The 18,828-nt window shown below is 36.4% G+C and overlaps 1 protein-coding gene across 32 annotated transcripts in view; it reads right to left on the bottom strand.

Annotated features, from left to right (window-relative positions):
- The window catches only part of RFX3 (regulatory factor X3), a 307,705-nt gene that overhangs the window by 21,321 nt on the left and 267,556 nt on the right, over positions 1–18,828 (bottom strand). For 31 of the 32 annotated variants that reach the window (XM_047423701.1, XM_047423699.1, NM_001282116.2 and 28 more), the window contains 2 exons: positions 17,374–17,582; positions 8,415–8,568 (listed from right to left, as the gene is read on the bottom strand). In XM_047423701.1, coding sequence (XP_047279657.1) covers positions 8,415–8,568; positions 17,374–17,582 — 363 coding nt within the window. Of the gene's footprint in view, positions 1–4,371; positions 8,569–17,373; positions 17,583–18,828 lie in introns of those variants that run through there. The other variant, NM_002919.4, reaches the window with a different exon arrangement.

An 18,828-nucleotide genomic window follows, 5' to 3' on the forward strand; every position in this document is an offset into this window, starting at 1 on the left:
CAGATTACAATATTGGCCTTAGTTGCCTTTGAAGAGAAAAGTAGCCTCAAAAACAGGAGCATTTAACACCACCATTAAGGCCAAAGCAAGAGGGGCCTTTGGCCCAAGACCCACACTATGGAGAACTCTGCTTTGTGTTTTCCATTGCCAGTCCCTTTCCTACAGTGTAAGGAGTCCACAGAGCCAGCTGGATGTGACTTCTTGGAGCCTGTGCTTCCCTCCCTCCTCCCATACCACCTCTTCTTATCTGAGACCCTAGAATTCCCTGCCCCGTGGCTCTGAGTTCCCTTCCAGGCCCTGGCAGTTCTCTTCTCCAACTCTACCATTCAGAGGCATGAAGAGACAGCCAAAAAGGGGCAGCTGTTTGCAAAAGGTAGACAAAACTTGAAGACTGGGCTGAGGTGTCCACAAATCTGAGCACAAAGCTGTTCATAATATAAGATGGGGAGTGATGAAGCAGTCTAGGGCCAGAGGCTGGCGACACGGGCTGGCTATGTCTATGTCAATATTTTCTGGTATGGAACTCAGGGGAGACAGAATTTCAAATCCAAACTCAGCCTTCCAAGTTGTTATCAAGACATATTTGTCAAGGTAGGTGGATAGAACAGATTTTATTTATAGTCTGATTCATAACTTTTAAAATATTTAGACACATGGTATCCTGGGCCCTGTAAATTGCAGGGTTGGGCCAGGCAGCATATCCTTTATGCAAGTAAAACTATTGGGGAAATAGAACGAACCTTGCTCCTAATTTAACACTGGCTCCCCTTGAAAACACCTATATTATTTAATAGGAAAGCATAGCATTAATTTATTCTATCAGAGGACTATATCTTAATTTTGATTATACCACTTCTCTTTTCTGGAAATCATTAACTGGAGAGACAATCAGAGTGGCAGTGTAGAAACATGTTCCCTTTGTACTAAGAAAACCTTCACAACAAGCATCAATCAGGTTTGAAGTGCTTGTATTATCATCACATAAGGCCCATATTCTTGCAGAGAATCTCTAATTTTTATGACATTTTATGGTAGTATATTTTATACAAGGATGGTATAAAGAAAGAAAACAATTCCTGTGAGTTTAGGAATTTGCCTATCCCAAACAAGAGTTATTTATTTATCAGGGGGGCCAGCAACCACTATCTTCACCTGTGGTTGAGAGCAAAACCACCATAAAGACAGTGTCAAAGCCAAGAGCCACTTGGGCTAGGCACAGGATGACAGAGTGTGGCAAAGTGGCCAGTAGGTGGCACCGTCATGCTTACTCTATGCCAGGGAATCTTTTTCTCTGGTTGGGTCTGCCCAAATAGCTGCAGTGCTACCTGACAAACTCTTTACTAAACAAATAACTTAGCGGTGGACTTTGCTGAAGAGGACTGTGTGCTGAGATTTCTTTCCTGATGTCTACAGTGACCATTTTAGTCCTTGAAATATTTTAAAAAGTCTTCAACTTCTATTTTGGTTTATTTCCCCACTTCTAAGCTCTTTAGGGAAATTGCTGTCGTAAGCACCCACAAAAGTCCAACTTCATAGTATTTCTCTGAAATAGTATTGACAGGCACTTTCTAAGGAGAAGGTACACTTTTTGGTCTAGGAGTTTTTTGTTTTTTTTTTTTTTGCCCAGAGTAAAGAAATCTAATGTATCAATCATGAAATCCAAGAAGACGTCCTATCAATTGGTAGTCTGTCCTTTGTACTTCCTTCCTTGAGTATTTTTAGGGTACCTATTGCATGATTATGTTTAGATCACAGTTATAAGCAAATTTTCTCCATTCCCTGAAGAGGATGAGAGGAGAGGTTATAGCCCAGAGCCAGCAGGGAAGAAAGCCACGCATAGGAAGCTAATGAGCAGGGATCCCAGAGAGAAAGAACCGCAGCCCTGGGCTGCTGAGTCAACAGATTCCTTTCTCAAATCCAAGAAGAGAAATGAACAGAATGACAAACCAGGAACAAGGAAGAAAAAATGGGACACGGAGCCAATTCTCTGGAACTTTGGGGTCACTTCTATAATTTATTTTCAAGTTGTCAGAAATTGTGCTAATGTAGATGAGCAGATTTACAACTAAAACCAAACTACGACTTCTTTAAAAAAATGTTTGATTTAGGTCTGGTCTCAGGATGGGTGTACAGGAGCTGTAGGGTGTAATTTGTTCTTTTCCGGCAGATTTAGTTTTCCAAATGCAATTTGCTTAGACTAATATTCCATTTAGTTTTCATATTCTAAATATCTACTAACAAAAAGTGCAAGGGGAAAAGATGGCAAGCGTATTAAGAGGCATCCTGTAAGGCAGAGGAAAAAAAACTCTGAAACAAAGTAATAAAAACTTTTAAGCTAGGCACCTGGCTTGTGATTGTCAGAGAGAAAATGTGTGTCTATGTGTTTGTGTGTTTGGGGGAGTTGCACATAATCCCTATTTTGAAACTATAATAATTTATATGGTGAAAAACTGAAAGATAGATTAAGCCCATCCCATTTGACTATTTGAAGTGAGGCAGTCCTACTTTCTAAAGTTAGTTCTACCACTTGCTAGTTTTGATTTGGGGCAACTTTCAATTTCTCTTTTCCTCACTGGTGAAATAGGGATACTGAGACATCTTTTGCAAGGTTTCAATCAGTATCAAATAAGAATGTAAGACATCTAGAATAGGGATTGGCACAAGGCCTGCCCTCAATTGGAAAAATACTAATATAGTAAATAATAAGCTTCACTCTAAATAACAATCAACAGTATAATTTTTGACAAGTATTCCTTACATTTTCTAAGCCACTACTCTTCCATGATTGTTTTTTTTTTTCCTGCAAACTATCTCGACTTGTGATAATATTCTTTGCTTTTAAAATACTGTTGTAACAAGTCTATTGTTCAACAGGCACATTTAAAGTGTATTCCCTAGTCACACTAGCACAATGCTTGCTAAAATTTGTTTTTCTTTGGTTTGATTTTACTTTAAGCACCAATATTTGTTTACTATGAATGTAATTCTACTTCCACCAAATGGAATTCTTTCACTGAGCTTTTATCCCAAAAGCTTACATGTTCAATTATTATTGCTCTTCTTCAGTTTCTAGGTTTTGAAGATTTTTTTCCTTCCAAAAAAATTAACTGAGTATATCAATTTTGATGAATCCAAGACATTTTTCTTTTGATGTTAAATTGTTACAGGTTAAATTTTTCTCTATTACTGAAATATTATCTTTTCTATATTGATATTCGCAATTGAACACTTAAAGACTCTACTGGTTTCTCTTTATTTGAAAATGGCTAAAGAGGTGGCTTAGACATAATATTAAGTATAATTAAATTATGATTAAAAGAATTGATATATTTAATAGATTATTAAAAGGTTTGTAACAAAATCATTTTATGAAGCAATCAAAATTTCAAAGATTCAGTGAATATATTAATGGACTATGTATGTTTTAAAGAGATAAAGCAGAAAGATTCTAAACAGCCATAACATTTGAATAAAAGGACATTTTTCTGCTCAATTTGTCTGGTCAGAGTTGTATGGAAAGCTTTATGATTTTTAAAATTGTTTATTTAACAGGTATGTAAACAGATGCAACTCATTTATTTTATTTTATTCTTACTCTTAAAATTTCACCACTGCCAGAAAGCTTGTGGACAAATTTATAATATTTAAATGAAAATTTAAAAATTATATAAATTTTAGCAATAAATAAATTGTTTCCTTTTTATCATTTAGGCAAAAAAAAAAAACTCTAGAATTGCATATGCTTTAAATAATTTACTAGGCAGTATTAATGTAGTAGCATACTGACATTTACAGGAAAACTTCTTGGGACTGTGAAGCTGTTTCCAGCTTAGGGGAGTCCATTGTATAGCAGTCTTTATTTCAAAACACCAACAACATTTATAACATTGAAATGACAGCATTAAAGTCAATTTAAAAGTAATAGTTTGTATGCTTGTATATATCTTGTTTATATGTAAAACGGGTTGTTCTTTCCTGCCTGCCTGCTCAAATAATGTAAGTAATGTTAATTTTAAAACTCAGTAAAACTGAGTTCACATTATTGAAAAGATACATTCATTGTTCTTAAGTCACCTTAAAAGGAAAGTCTTTTTGCTTGCTTATGAAACTATTTAACTGACACCTTTTCCAAAGCAAGCACCTGTAAAGGCAAAACAAATACCCAGCAAAGTTTGTGACTATTTTGCAGGTTTGCCCTTGAAATTGTTCCTACTCCAATCCTACTCCAATCTGTAGCAGGTCATAAGCATGGCAGATTAACAGCAAGGACTTTGGTGCCAGACTGCGTGGTTTCAGAACCTGATTTCACAATTTAGTGGTTGTGTGACCTTGGGCAAGTTACTTTTTGGTTCTGTGTCTCATTTCTTCTTCTTTTTTTCTATTTTTATTATTTTTTTTTTTTGAGATGGAGTCCCGCTTTGTCGCCCAGGCTGGAGTGCAGTGGCGTGACCTTGTCTCACTGCAACCTCCACCTCCTGGGTTCAAGCAATTCTCCTGGTCTCAGCCTCCCGAGTAGCTGGGACTACAGGCACATGCCACCACGCCCGCCTAATTTTTTTTGTATTTTTAGTAGAGACAGGGTTTCACCATATTGGTTAGGCTGGTCTCAAACTCCTGACCTCAGGTGATCCACCCGCCTTGTCCTCCCAAAGTGCTGGGATTACAGGTGTGAGCCACCAAGCCCGGCCTCTTATTTCATCATTTGTAACACAGGTGTAATAATAGTATCCACTTATAGATCTGTGGTGAGTTATTAACATATATATATGGCACTTCGAACTGTACCTGGCACACAACTGCTATGTAGGTGTTAGCTTCACTTGAAATTTTGACTTTTTATCCTAATTCAATTTTTCCTCTTGTCTGTTGCATTTGACAGTGTTTATTTGGTCTCCCTGGTGCTTGAACGTTAGGTTTCTCAGGAAAACTTCCCCTTGGCTGTGCTCTCACCCACCTCTGTCAGGGCCTGTGCACATTCCCCTGTGCCTGGGGTGTTTTTCACCCCTTACCTTCAGATTCTCTCTTCACAGAGTTAACATCTTTTGTCCTTTAGTTCTTACCTCAAACATCACTTCCTTGGGAAAGACTTCCCTGGTCCTCCCAGGCTAGATTTAGGGCCTCAAGCTTTAAGCATTCTTATATCCCTTTAATTTTCCTTCAAAGCACTTAACAAAGTTTGTAGCTATAGTTATGTGACTATGTAAATATGTATCCCCCACTTGAAATCTAAGCTCCTCGAAGGCTGGGTAAAAATCCATTTTTTTCATCATTATATTCCAATCATGATAGCTTTGGCATAGAGTATCTGCACAATAAAAACTTGTTAATAAATGATAAATCAGTTTCGGAGATCAGAAGTCTAGAGTTCAACACAAGTCAACATGATTTGCCCAAGATTATACTAATAGCCATGACAGAGCTAGAAGTAGAATTCACTTCTGACTCAAAGTCCTTTATTGTTTCCAGGTATTACATCTTTGACTATACAAATCAAACAGAGAACTGTGCAATTAGTATTGTGGAGCTTCTAGAATGACAAGTAAAAGTACATATCAGAAAGACTTGAACTGTTTAAGGTATTCTGGAGTAACTGAGTCTCCCTGAGAAACTGATTTTTACAACATGAAGTAGGAGTTAGAATGGGCATGGGGAGATGGGCAGAGGCTTCCAGGTAGAAAGAACCATTTATGCAGTAGTCCAAGGATGAGAAAACCTTAGTGAATGAGAACAGAGAAAAGGCCACTGTGATTGCAACAGAAAGAGTAGGAAGTGGGAGGCTGATGTTGATCAGAGGGGCAGGGCCAGATCATGCAAGAGCTCATGTTAGTAACACAAGGGAAAGTCACTGAAGGGTTTCAAGTGGGGGATGACACAGTCAGCTTTGCATTTTCACAAGACGATACTGACTGCACTCTGAGGGATTTGAGAAACAGAACTTGGTAATTGGTTGTAGATGGGAGTCAAGATAGAAGGACATAAAAAAAGAATGCTCACGTGTCTGGTATAATCAACTGGGAGGATCGTGGCGCCATTTACTGAGAAAGAGCCATTAGTTGATACAGCAAGACTATTATCTTCATTAAGTATATAATATGCTCTCAGTAAATAGTGACAATTGTTATTGTCTTTGTGGTTGCTATTATTACTCATTATTCCAAACCATTTGCTGTGACTGGGAGTTATGGTGATTTGTATGGATTTCAATGGATTTTGGCCTGATGTGTTACTCCCACTATGTACACAGGCACGTCTGGATTTGGTGATTGGAAAAGGAAGTCACCCAAGGGACCAAGAGAAGGTAGGCTTAGGATAATGTGAGGAGAACATGAGAAAACAAACTTTTTATTTTTTGAATTTCCTTCTCCTTTTCCCCAAATCAAGAAATTTTAGATATGATAGTATGACCATGGCCAATAGATCTATGAGAGCAAACAGGTGTATGAGGCATCAGTGTTGTATGAGGAGATCAAACCTATAAAATTAGTCTGAATTTGCCTTTTGGGGTAAATAATGGATGAGCATAGGCAGGTCAAAGGGCTTTCCTATAAACTGAGTAAGCAAAGAAATCAAGAAGTATGATTAGATCTTTGACCATTTTTTAAATTTAGATTTTACGTATATATCTTTGCCTCATGTAAAATCTGTCATATTCATTTAGATCGTTTACATGTAGTAAAAAAAAAAAGAATAACTATTAGAATGGAGTTGGCACTATAGATTATGTAGCCCATTTTAATTCTGGTGCCGCCTGTGCAAGCATACCAGGAGGTTGCTAAGCCTTCACACTGTGTGACTGGCTCACATCCACTGCCTTTGTTCCCTAGAGATGCAAGGAAAGCAAAGGCCATGCATCAAGATTAGCCACATGGTGTTAATGAGAATCCCCGCCATCATTATCCTATTTATCTTGTTAAAGAAGTCCTTGAGCATATGAGGTAGTGGCAAATGTGTTAAGTATACTAAAAGGCAAGGTCCATTTCTGAAGTCTTGAACCCTGAGTTAAGAAATTTTAGAGTACTGAGTCCACGTGCTACCTGGGCATTTTCCAACAAGGCATCTATAAAACAAGTAAAGAAAGAGGCAATGAGGGGAAGTCAAATATAAGAAAAGTCCAGATTGTTTTGGTCACATGAGGTCCTGCTTACAATGAAAAGCCACAGTGATTCCTGCTTAATCTCACACATATATTTGGCATCATTTAAGCTTTATCATCAACAGGGAACATCATACAAAGACATTTAGATGGATATACAGCAAGGGGTTTTAAAGAAGTGGAAAAGATGAATATTTCAACTGACCTTCTAGGCAAGTTTGACATGCATTTTATTTATACTAGAATATTAGGGAGGTCCTTGAAGTATTTTAATGTATTTTTATTTATACCTTATTATATTAAACTAGGAAAAGCATTGAATAATATCTGTTTTCACTCTTTTTTATTTATATAAGCACATACACATAGCTTAAAAGTGAACATGTCTTTTTTACCGCCTTGGGTAATTTGTCACATTTAATAATCTGGTATGATTCGACAAGGTATAAACTACCCCCGCCTCCTGCATTCAATATAACAAAATAAGCCAGTGCTGAACCATCTGAGCATTTGCATCTATTCCTCATTATATTAACCAGCCCTTGTTATATTCAGAGTTTAAGCTTTTTGATAAGCCATTTTGATGACTATTCAGAAATTCTGAAGAAGAGAATTTTCCCCCTTACATCATTAGTGGTTAGAAGCATATGGGTTTGAAAATCAGACTGTGTTTGAAAAAAAAATCTCTACCATTTTTTAGCTGAGTAATCATTTAACCTTTCTGTGCCTTAGCTTTCTGCATAAACCTCGGATGCTTATTGTAAAACAGAATAAAGTAGAACGTATCTCAAAGACTTGCATTAAGTGCTTTATTACATGTAAAAAACATAGAACTGTGCCTCGCACATAGTAAGTGTCCAAAAAATGTTAGTTATCATCATTACCATTTTTATCCTTCTAAAATAGAATCATTTACTTTGTTCTTGGAGACCGGGAAAGAGTCTACAAAATACATATTTAATCCTTTCCATTGTATTCCCAGCCCTTTGCTTTATCAGGAGCACCAATCTTTTTCCCACTTAAAATATTTTTCATATTCCAGTGGTTCTCAAGTTTTTCTTTTACATAGGTACCTGTATAATATAGAGACACATTCCATGAACTTTCACATGATATAATCCACAATTTTAGAATCTTTTGATTAAGCACATAAGAACAGAGGAATTTAAGGAACTCTTGCAATAACTCCACAGTCCCTCCTGGCTCTGAGGCTGACTTGGTTAGGAACCATGGTTTTAATCAATAATGTATTTAGACTGAAGTGTAATTCTGGCTTATTTTTAATAACCCAGTGGGTCACAGCTCTTTCAGCCTCTCTTACCTCGCCCATGACTGCTATAGGAGTCTCTCCTGTTGCCTGAGCAACACGATGTTCTACTAAGTAAAACATATATTCGTCGTAGAGTAGACGGATCAGGTGGAAGGAGCCAAAGCTAGCAGCACTGCGTAAGGTTAAGTCCCGAATAACCATTGAGCTGTTCCAAGAGAAAAGACAAATATGCAGCTAACATTAGTGACAAGAATTAGCATTCTACCTATTTTTCCTCTTAAAAAAAAGTCAAGCTGGGAGTCTATATGGTTGGTATAGTATAAAACCTGCCATGAAAGCATTTCATTATTGAACGCAGTTGCAACTCATTTAAATAGAATGATAAAGAGGTAATCCTCACGGAGACTTGATCCTTATTCAAGATAGATAGTCTTAATGGAAAAAGTCATTCTACTATCATGGGCAAGTCTGCTGCTTCTACCAAACTCACAAATAAATCAGAATTGAACACAAAAATGTCTGAAAGATTGACCACTCATTACTACCCTAAGAAAAACAACTTGAGTGAAAATCCTATTGATGAAGGTTGGCAGTCTGTCCCCTCTCAGTGATAACGATCTCTGGGGTAGGCCTTAGAAAAAAGATGCATTTCTGCCAGACAAAGCTCACAAAATATAATAAGCAATGTTCCCAGATGTGGCAATACAGAGTATAGGCAAGTACGTACAGGGATTCCAGCAAGTTTCCTTGGAAGGCAAACGTATTAAGTGTTTCCAGTTTCTTAATGATTTCCACTTAAATTAAGGCACATTTACATTAGAAATAAGCACAATAAAATCAATTAAGAAATGCGTTATTTTTGAAAATGCAAACATTTAAAGTATATAATACGAAAATATAAGCAATATTTATAAAATACTTATAATAAACTCTATTATATTTAAAATGGAAATGAGTCCAAAATAAAATCTTGGCTTCAACATGCCAATCATTAAGCTTGTTCATGCACTTCAAATCTTAAAATAGTCATAATTTAGAATCAGAGTGATGTGTGTGTGTGAGTGTGTGTATGTGTGTGTTTCTTATCACTTTCATTTACTGACCTTTTTCTAAAGATTTTTGGCAGATGAACACTAAAACAACCATTGTATTCTCAGGAGAAAGAGGTAAAAACTCACCTATGCCTCGTTTTACAGTAAAGAATTATAAGACATCAGGCAAATGGAAAAACAAAAGACTGTACTTTTGTTTTCTGTTTCATTTTTCAACCTTGTTTAAATAGAGGCTACTAATACATCAAATTGTATGCATTCAACTTGGCAAGTGACAGATCATCATTGTCCATCTGAAACACAGAAGCCTTGAATTCTGATTCTGTCTCTTCATTGACTGTTGATCTCAAAAACATCATTTCCCCGAGATGTTTTTCCTCTTGCATGAAAACAAAACATTGCCTTTAGTCTTATCTAACTTACATGCTTATTTCAAGGATAAAATAAGTTAAAGGATGTGAAATCAACTTATGGATGACTAGAACGCTATTCAAATATAAGTGATTGTGATTATAATACACAGAATAGGAGAAGCTGACTTTCTCATTCTCATTTATTTATGGTGGCAAGAATAGCAATTATTATATGATGATGGCAGAGGACCTCTCAATTCTGTGGATCTATTTACTAAAATAATAATAATAAGAATAAGCACGGGTTTGAAGTTACACAGACCCGGGTTACCACTATGTGATTTCAATTGTGATCATATAATTTTTTGTAAGGTTCAAAGTTTAGCCTAAGAGTCAAATGACATAATGTATGTGAAATCTTAAGAAAACTGCCAATGTAACTATACTGTTACCTACATTAGTGTTAATAATATATTCATTATCATAAATAGTAGGTCTAGTGAATGATATCTTAGAGTTGACTACTTTAACGAATTCCTTAAGTTTACAGCTCTATAAATAATTATTAAAAATAAATGAATACTTTCATTTGCATGCCAACATATATGACAAAATTCTATATATAACTCTATCCACGTCTTTCCTAAAATTCAGTGACATATCACCAATTTGTAAAAATAATTTATAAGATTACAATATAAGAGTTATATGAAAATAAATATTTCTATTCCTATGGTAAAAAAAATTTTAAAGCAGTGAATCACTTACTAAAAAAGCAAAAACAACACAAAAATAAAAAGAAAATGTTACATAACGTTTTTACCCATACTAACAAAGACTTGAAATAAATGATTTTTAAAGTAAAGCATGAACAGAATATTTGCTCCTAATTGCATTTATCTTGCTGAAGAAAGATAGCAAGTATTTAAAATTTTCAAATTTTAAAAATTTAAAGTATAAGACAAATGCCTAACAAACATACAAAAACATGACTAATTTTACTTGGAATTAAAGAAATGAAAATTAAAGTAAGATACCCTATATAATCTATAAAGCTGTCAGAGGTTAAAAGACCCAATGTTATAGCTGGTTTGGAAAAACTCTCCTTTACTGTCCCTATGAATATAAATTCATAAAACTTTTGTAGAGGGAAATTTGGCAGTATTTGTCAAAATTTAAAAGGTCAAAACCTTTGACCCAGCAATCTAATTCTAGAAATTTACACAATTGACCAAAGATAGTCACAACTGCAGCACAATATTTCTACTAATGAGAAACTAGGAAAAGAAAGTAAATATCATTAAAAAGATAATCTAGTAGGATGCTGATTAAACAAGTTATGGCTCATCCAGATATAAAATTTTATGCAATCATTAAAAAAATGAAGTAGACATAAGTAGTAACATACAAAGATGTTTATAATATAATCGTTAAGTTGAAGCAAGATACATGAGCTCATTTACATAAAAACACTCCATACATCAAAAAATTCCTACCCCCAAGTGAATTGGAATATCTAATACTTTATTAGCATTGAGATCACACACTTCATTAAACTAGTATTAGTTACTTTAAATGTTTATATCCTTTTACTTGAACTTATCCAAAGATATACGTACAATCGTATATGAAGATAATCATAACAGCATTTTTAAAAACTCTATCAAAACACCAAAACCCATCTTAATGTTCAAGAATAAGGGAATGTTTAAATAATGTATGAGGCATAAACATAATGAAATAGTATGAGGACGTTAAACATTATGTTTCTGAAGATATTTAATGGCAAGAAATGCTTAAGATATAATTGCAAATAAAAAATGTTAAGAGAAAAATATAGTTAAATAGCCTATGGTAAACAACTGGATCCCAATTTTATTTAACCCAAAAAGAAACATTTAACCAGTGGTAATTTCCGGGTAGAAGTTTTTGTATTTCCTAGATTATCTTTTTAAAAAATTAATTATTTTTTTTTTTTAGAGACAGGGGTCTTGCTGTATTGTCCAGGCTGGGGTGTGGTGATGCCATTATAGTTCACTGCAGCATTGAACTCCTGGGTTCCAGTGATCTTACGCTCCTCACCTCCCATAGGCACTTGCTACCATGCTCAGCTAATTATTTTATTTTGTTAGAGATGGGGTCTCACTATGTTGCCCAGGCTGGTCTCGAACTCCTGGACTCAACTGATCCTCCTGCCTCAGCCTCCCCCAAATAGCTGGGATTACAGGTGCAAGCCACCATGCCTGGCCTGTATTTACCACATTTTCTAATGTGAGCATATATTAACTGCATAATAAAAATATTTATTTTAAAAGATGTCATTCATTATATAATAATACAGAAAAACAATACTGAGTCAGGTGAATGTTAATAAATCTTTTCAGGAATAAATATCACAGATACAGAATGAGTCTTTCTTTATATATTTCTAAGTTCAAATTTTAGGCCTTTCTATTTCTCTTTCTCTTTTTTTTGTTTTTGAGATGGAGTCTCGCTCTTGTTGCCCAGGCTGGAGTGCAATGGCATAATCTCAGCTCACCGCAACCTCTGCCTCCCGGGTTCAAGCGATTCTCCTGCCTCAGCCTCCCGAGTAGCTGGGATTACAAACATGCGCCACCACGCCTGGCTAATTTTGTATTTTTAGTAGAGACGGGGTTTCTCCATGTTGGTCAGACTGGTGTCGAACTCCCGACCTCAGGTGATCCGCCCACCTCGGCCTTCTGTTAAAATATAATAACCCTGAAATCATGTGAACAACTAAGGAGAATGTTCATAACAAGTAGTTTCTGATATCATTTTAGAAATGCAAATTCAACTTTTTCCAATAAAATTCACATTTATTTAGCAGATATTTATTGTGTTCCTACTCTGCGGCAGGGTCTTGGTTCAGACAAGACAGACAAAATTTGGTTTCAAAAAAGTTCACGTTCTGTTAGGTGAGACAGTTGGTAAATACACAAGTAGATAAAAAAATATAAAGTTAGGGAGTAAGAGATCCTATAAATCAGGGCCAGAGATTGGAGAGTGATGAGGGCAGGCATTTTAAGTTGGGGTATCTAGAAAATTCTTTCTGAGGAGGTGATATCTGAGCAGAAACTGGATTGAAGTGAGGAAACGAACACAGGTGAAGAGTCTTCCTGGCAGAAAGGAGAGCAAATGAAAGAGCTTGAGACAGAACTGCTTGCTGTTTTCAAAGAGTAGCCAGGAGGCTAATGTGGTAGGAAGGCAGTGAGCAAAGAGAAGAATACCTGATAGGGTCTGGATGACTCTAGTGGCTGGACTGTGTAGGGTCTAGTAGGCCATGATAAGGCCTTTGGATTTCATTCTGAGTGTTTTGGAAACTTTTGGATGGTTAGGCAATCACCTGATTTCAGCATAAAATGCACACGTAATACTAAATTCTGTTGGAAGTTTAAAAAAAAATTTATTGATCCTCAATTATAATACCTAGTTATTTAAAAAATACTGACATGTATGTCATGAAATTATTGTCATATGTTTAGAAAAGAATCAGTTGAATTGTATCATTAACGCTATGTCTACTTTATTCTCTCTGTGTCAGGCCTCCGCTTTACATGCCAAGTATTAAATGACACAATTAACAGTTTAATTGGAATCCTATTGTCCGATTCAGACTTCCGTAAGAAATGTTGTAAAATTGACTCCACTGAATTGTTGCTAAGTTACCATGAATTCAACTCTTTTTAAGATCAGAGTTGTAAACGTTAATTATTTTATAATGGACAAGAAATATCTTTGTGTATTTATCTTTATAACTCATGGCGTGGAAATTGAAATATATGCCCTAACATGCGATAGCCAACCTGCCTCTTCTGAGTGTTTGAAGATGTATCACACCCTTCAGGTGAGAACATCACGCCTGTGATCCTTATGTGAACTCACTCTTTGAAAAGTGCTTACAGTTGATTCAAAAAAGAGTATTACTTTTTGGAAGATTCATATATTGTCCAGTTGTAGGCAAACTAGGCACCCTGTGCCTACTTTCACGCCAAATATCAAAGCTATACATTCCACTCTTTAAAAATGGGATATCTGAATGACCTTCAGGGTGGCCCTGAAGAATGCTCTCTTCTGTTATCCAAAACACACAAGCTGAGAAATGGCCCATATAACTTCTCCAATTCTGCCCAAGAAAGGCAGTGATTTTTTTTTTCTGCCTCCCAGGGAACCACAATTAGTCACTGACAGCCAGGTTAGGCAAGGAGAGAGCCCCCATTCAGAGCAGAACCTCTTTGTAGCGCTGTATCAACTGCTATTATGATTCTCGGCAAGTTCATTTCTATATTTCCATGCATGTAAATATATACAAAAAATTTTAGAAATTAGATTAAGCATCTGATTTCAGAACATGAAGGGCCTGTGTATGTGACTGCCAAATTTATAATGGCATTTACAAATTTACAAATTTTTGGCATCTGTAATGCCAAAAACATTAAAAAATATTCTAATTCTGCTTCTCTGATAGTTTGTGAATGTAATTTTCATTACTCAATATGTTCTTATGTCTCAGTAAAAAACAGTTCAGATATTAAAGGCTTAAGTTTCTCAGCTATTGACTTTGCCTACCAGCAGGAGGTATGCATCTGTCTGAATGTGCCTTTCCTTCTGGGGCCCTGAACTGTAGGCCTTCAAGTCTTTTTGAAACGAAAATAATAACTATAATAGTATCTAATAATAACAAGCCAATTATCCTCAACTCAGGGAGGACAGAGGGCAGGCAAGTGATGATCTACTGGGTTTGTATATCTGCAGAGAACAAGAAATACAAGTAAGTAATTTTCTCTCCCTTCAAGATACCTGCAACAGATCTCTGTGGAGATGAAGGCTCCAGGGATGTATTTCTAAAATGACATCAACTAAATATAGGAAAAAAAAAAAAACCAACCACAGGTAGACGTAAGGGCAAGTCTGACACTAATAACATAAGAAAGCAGTAGGAAGAAAAAAAGCACCTTGCTTTTTTGGATGTAGAGGATGGACTCTGCCTTTGGTCATATAAGTTTTGGAACAGCCAGTCAGTGTACTGCTGTTTCATCAATTATTCATGGAGCACATATACCACTTACGTTGTTATCTGGGAAAAAACTTGATGAATAAAAAGAAACTGTTGGGCAACTGGGAAAATATCTGAAATCTTTTTTTTTTTTTTAAGATGGAGTCTTGCTCTGTCGCCCAGGCTGGAGTGCAGTGGCGTGATCTCTGCTCACTGCAAGCTCCACCTCCCAGGTTCACACCATTCTCCTACCTCAGCCTCCCGAGTAGCTGGGATTACAGGCGTGAGCCATCGTGCCTGGCTGAAATCTTAAAAAATATTCCCAAATTAAATTTTCTAATTCTACCATTACTACAACTGTTGCTGCATCTACCTTGAGAACACTGTGATAACGCATTTCAAATCCTCCTGCTGTATCAAGGGAAAACTTAATTTCTCATCAACACATTTCTCATAAACACCCAGATCCAAACCTAGCACTGGCTTCACTGATGCATACTAGTGGGTCACAGAGCCAGACAACACCTTAATAATGTGCTTCTTGAATTATGTGGGCTAAAGGTGTTAAATATATGAGAGGCAGGACTGTGGAATTGTACCACTGCAAAAACAAAAACAAAACAACAGCAAAAAACTGGTTGGCTTTCTTTCATTGCATTTGACCCTGGGCTAGACACTAGACAGCTATTTTCAGGACGTAAGGATAATTTAACTCTTATGAAACATATAATGTGGATCTATACGTCTACTTCAGTTTAAGAAATAAGAATATGGACCAAATCAGTTGAGAAAGAAAAAAGTCACTTATAATAAAACCAAAGGAACTACCATCATAATTAAAAGACCTCTGATTCCATCATTATAACCAAAGGTGGTCAAAGCAATATGGAAATCCTATAGTCTGGGTCTACTGAGTTCACAAGTACTATTAGTTCCTACATTCTATTACTCATTCATAGTCTTTCCCTCCTCACAACTAGCTTTGGACTCACCACTGATGTCCAGAGGATGACCATAGTGTAGCCACAGCTACAGTCAGGTGTATGTCCTGTGGCCACCACTTTCTGATATGTGCATGGCTGCACAGAATCTACAGTAGAGACTGCCTATACTTTACAGCAGATATTAATCTTAGGGCCAAATCAGTGGGGCCAGCTTTATCTAAAGAAGCTAAAAAATGAACTCTCACCATAAGAACAAATGCCAGAGTTAAAAATATAATTTACCCAACTTATGGAAGAATTCCCTCTGCCAATTCCATCCTACATATATGGTAGAGACACTGACCTACAAAGGTCATAAATGCTGTTTTTAATCTTTGTGGCCGAGTTATGGTCAACAGCTCATCCCATCATTTGATATATGTCATGTAATCAGAAAGCCCTTTTCTTCTGGGTGCTTCTATGTCTACAAAAATACACGTTTCTATCTATACTATTTTAGTCAAAAAGTGATTTATATTATTAATAAGCTATGTTACTGTCTACGAGATTACTGATGATCATTAGAATCACCAGGAGAGCTTTGTGAAAAAAATCCTGATTATCCTCATTCCTAATCATTATCTCTCTCTTTTTTTTTTTCTGAGACGGAGTCTCGCTCTGTCGCCTAGGCTGGAGTGCAGTGGCATGATCTCGGCTCACTGCAAGCTCCGCCTTCCGGGTTCACGCCATTCTCCTGGCTTAGCTTCCAGAGTAGCTGGGACTACAGGCAACCCCAACCATGCCCCGCTAATTTTGTTTTTGTATTTTTAGTAGAGACGGGGTTTTACCGTGTTAGCGAGGATGGTCTCGATCTCCTGACCTCGTGATCCGCCCACCTCAGCCTCCCAAAGTGCTGGGATTACAGGCGTAAGCCACCGTGCCCAGCCACTAATCACTATCTCTTGACCACCAAGATTTTGATTTAGTAGGTCTTGGGAGGCACCTAGGATTTGTTTCTTTTTTTTTTTTTTTACATTAATTCTGATGTGCAGCCAGGTTTGAAAACAGTTATAATTGATAAAATTAAGAAGTTAAATAGATGGTTCTGGGTATGCATCAGAATCAACTTAAGTACTTTTTAAAACATAAATTGCTGGGCCTTACCTCTACAGGTTCTGATACAGGTAGATTTGGAGGAGGTGCTAAGAATTTGCATTTCTAACATGTTTCCAATTGATAGTGGTGCTACTGGTTTAGGGACCACATTCTGAACATCACTAAACAGAGAACAAAAAGGAGACTAGTGTTAGGCCTCAAGAAAGAAGCCTAAATAATGTATGTTGCAAGAGGGAGGACAGTTGCCCTTTTCTGATTACTGCTGAACACATTATCTAGACTGGAATCTCAGACGTTCCCATCTGAGGACATGTAGGGCTTTGAGCAAGAGATTTCTTTTCCTAGCAGAAAGTTTATTTCTCTAAGTTTCCTGGTACATTTCCATGGTGTTGTAATCACTGAGTTGGGTTGAAGGTAGTTGTAACAGGGAGTTTCCACAAACTAAAGTCTTTATTACTTTCTTTTCTTTTGTCACAGAAGCATATACAAACACATACACACACATATTTGCAGAATATGAAGAAGAAAGCCTAGGAAAAACCTAGATGATACCTGTAGAAAGACCATTTTAGCAGAAACTGCCTGGCGGCTTTAGGAAAACTGGGTCTTCCTTCATAGGGTTTCAGTGCTTGCATCATCACATTGTCAAGCCACGCAGCCCACTGCTCCAGGGTGCTCTGCTGCTGAAGAGTCATCTTGAAGTCTGTTTCTAGTCTCTGAACCATGTTGTCATCACACTGGCACACCCAGGAAGCCTGCTCCTGAGACAGTAACACAGAAAGAAAAGGAAAAGTTCAATTCAGCATCCTTTCATTGAATGCCAGCACACACACTAGATGCAAGAACAGAAAATTATAATAAAAGCTTCACACAGTTAAATGAATCCAGAAAATAAAAAACTACTTGTCAATTGTTAGGGTAACACAATCTTTATCAGTTTTAAGGGATGAGTATTTCTCGTTGCTCACTCTGGTACACAGAAAAGTGATGACACATGTAAGTATCATTTGGTTTTTCTACATTAACTAGTCTGTGTAAAAGACTAAAATACATGATGACTTCAAAAAATAGAAGTCTGAACCTACAGTAGGCAGGGTCTTTCATCCTATTCAGCTTTCATACTGCTTTCAGAAGTTGTCTTTTTGTTCCCCATCAGATAAAACTTTAAAACCAATTTATTTGAGAAGATTTAGGGTAAGTCAGACAGATAAATAGATAAAATTGGCCAAAAGAGGTCCCCTCAAGATTAAAACAGAAACAAACACTAAATGATACTAGGTAGAAGCATATGCTGCTGTGAGTTATATGGATTGGGAACAGAAATCTCAAGGGCTATCAAGGCAAGGCTATGAATGCAAATTAATTCAGAGAAATGAAAACCACAATAACAACAACAACAAAAACTCTTGAGAAAATGTAGACGTGCTTCCTGCCAAAAAATGTGATTATTGCAATTTTCCTTCTGGTTCTGGTTGGGAAATGTTTGGTAACAGCAATGAAAATAGGAACTTTTAAGGCTACTTTTCAGTGATTGCCATAAGTACTGTGATGTTTCCAGTGCTATGTTGTATTTTAAGATTTAAAAAAACCTATTCACTCAAGGCAAAACATAATTCTTTGGTAACGTAATATTTGACTGGGAATGAGAAGACATAGGTGTTAGGTCCTGAATAAACAAAACTAACCTCAAGCAATTAATTTATGTGGGCCTCAGTTTCCCTAAGCATAAAATTAAAGAAATGAAATTTAATGAAAAATTTTAAGCTGGGTTCATTGTGTCCAGATAATTTTGTCAAGATAGATTTCTTTGGAGAAGTGTCTGTGAGGCTCCTAATAAAACCTTGTGAATACATATGTATTTTTCTCAAAAGAGTGTCTATAGCTTCTTTTTCTATATGCTCTCAAAAAACAAGTTCATTCAAATTAACAACTTCAACTGAATAAATCCATTATCTCCATCTTCTAGTTCCAGTATCTCTCCTGATCCTACAGACTTTACCTATTCAA

This window comes from Homo sapiens, chromosome 9 (assembly GCF_000001405.40).
Source record: "Homo sapiens chromosome 9, GRCh38.p14 Primary Assembly".
Classification (NCBI taxonomy): Eukaryota; Metazoa; Chordata; class Mammalia; order Primates; family Hominidae; genus Homo; species Homo sapiens.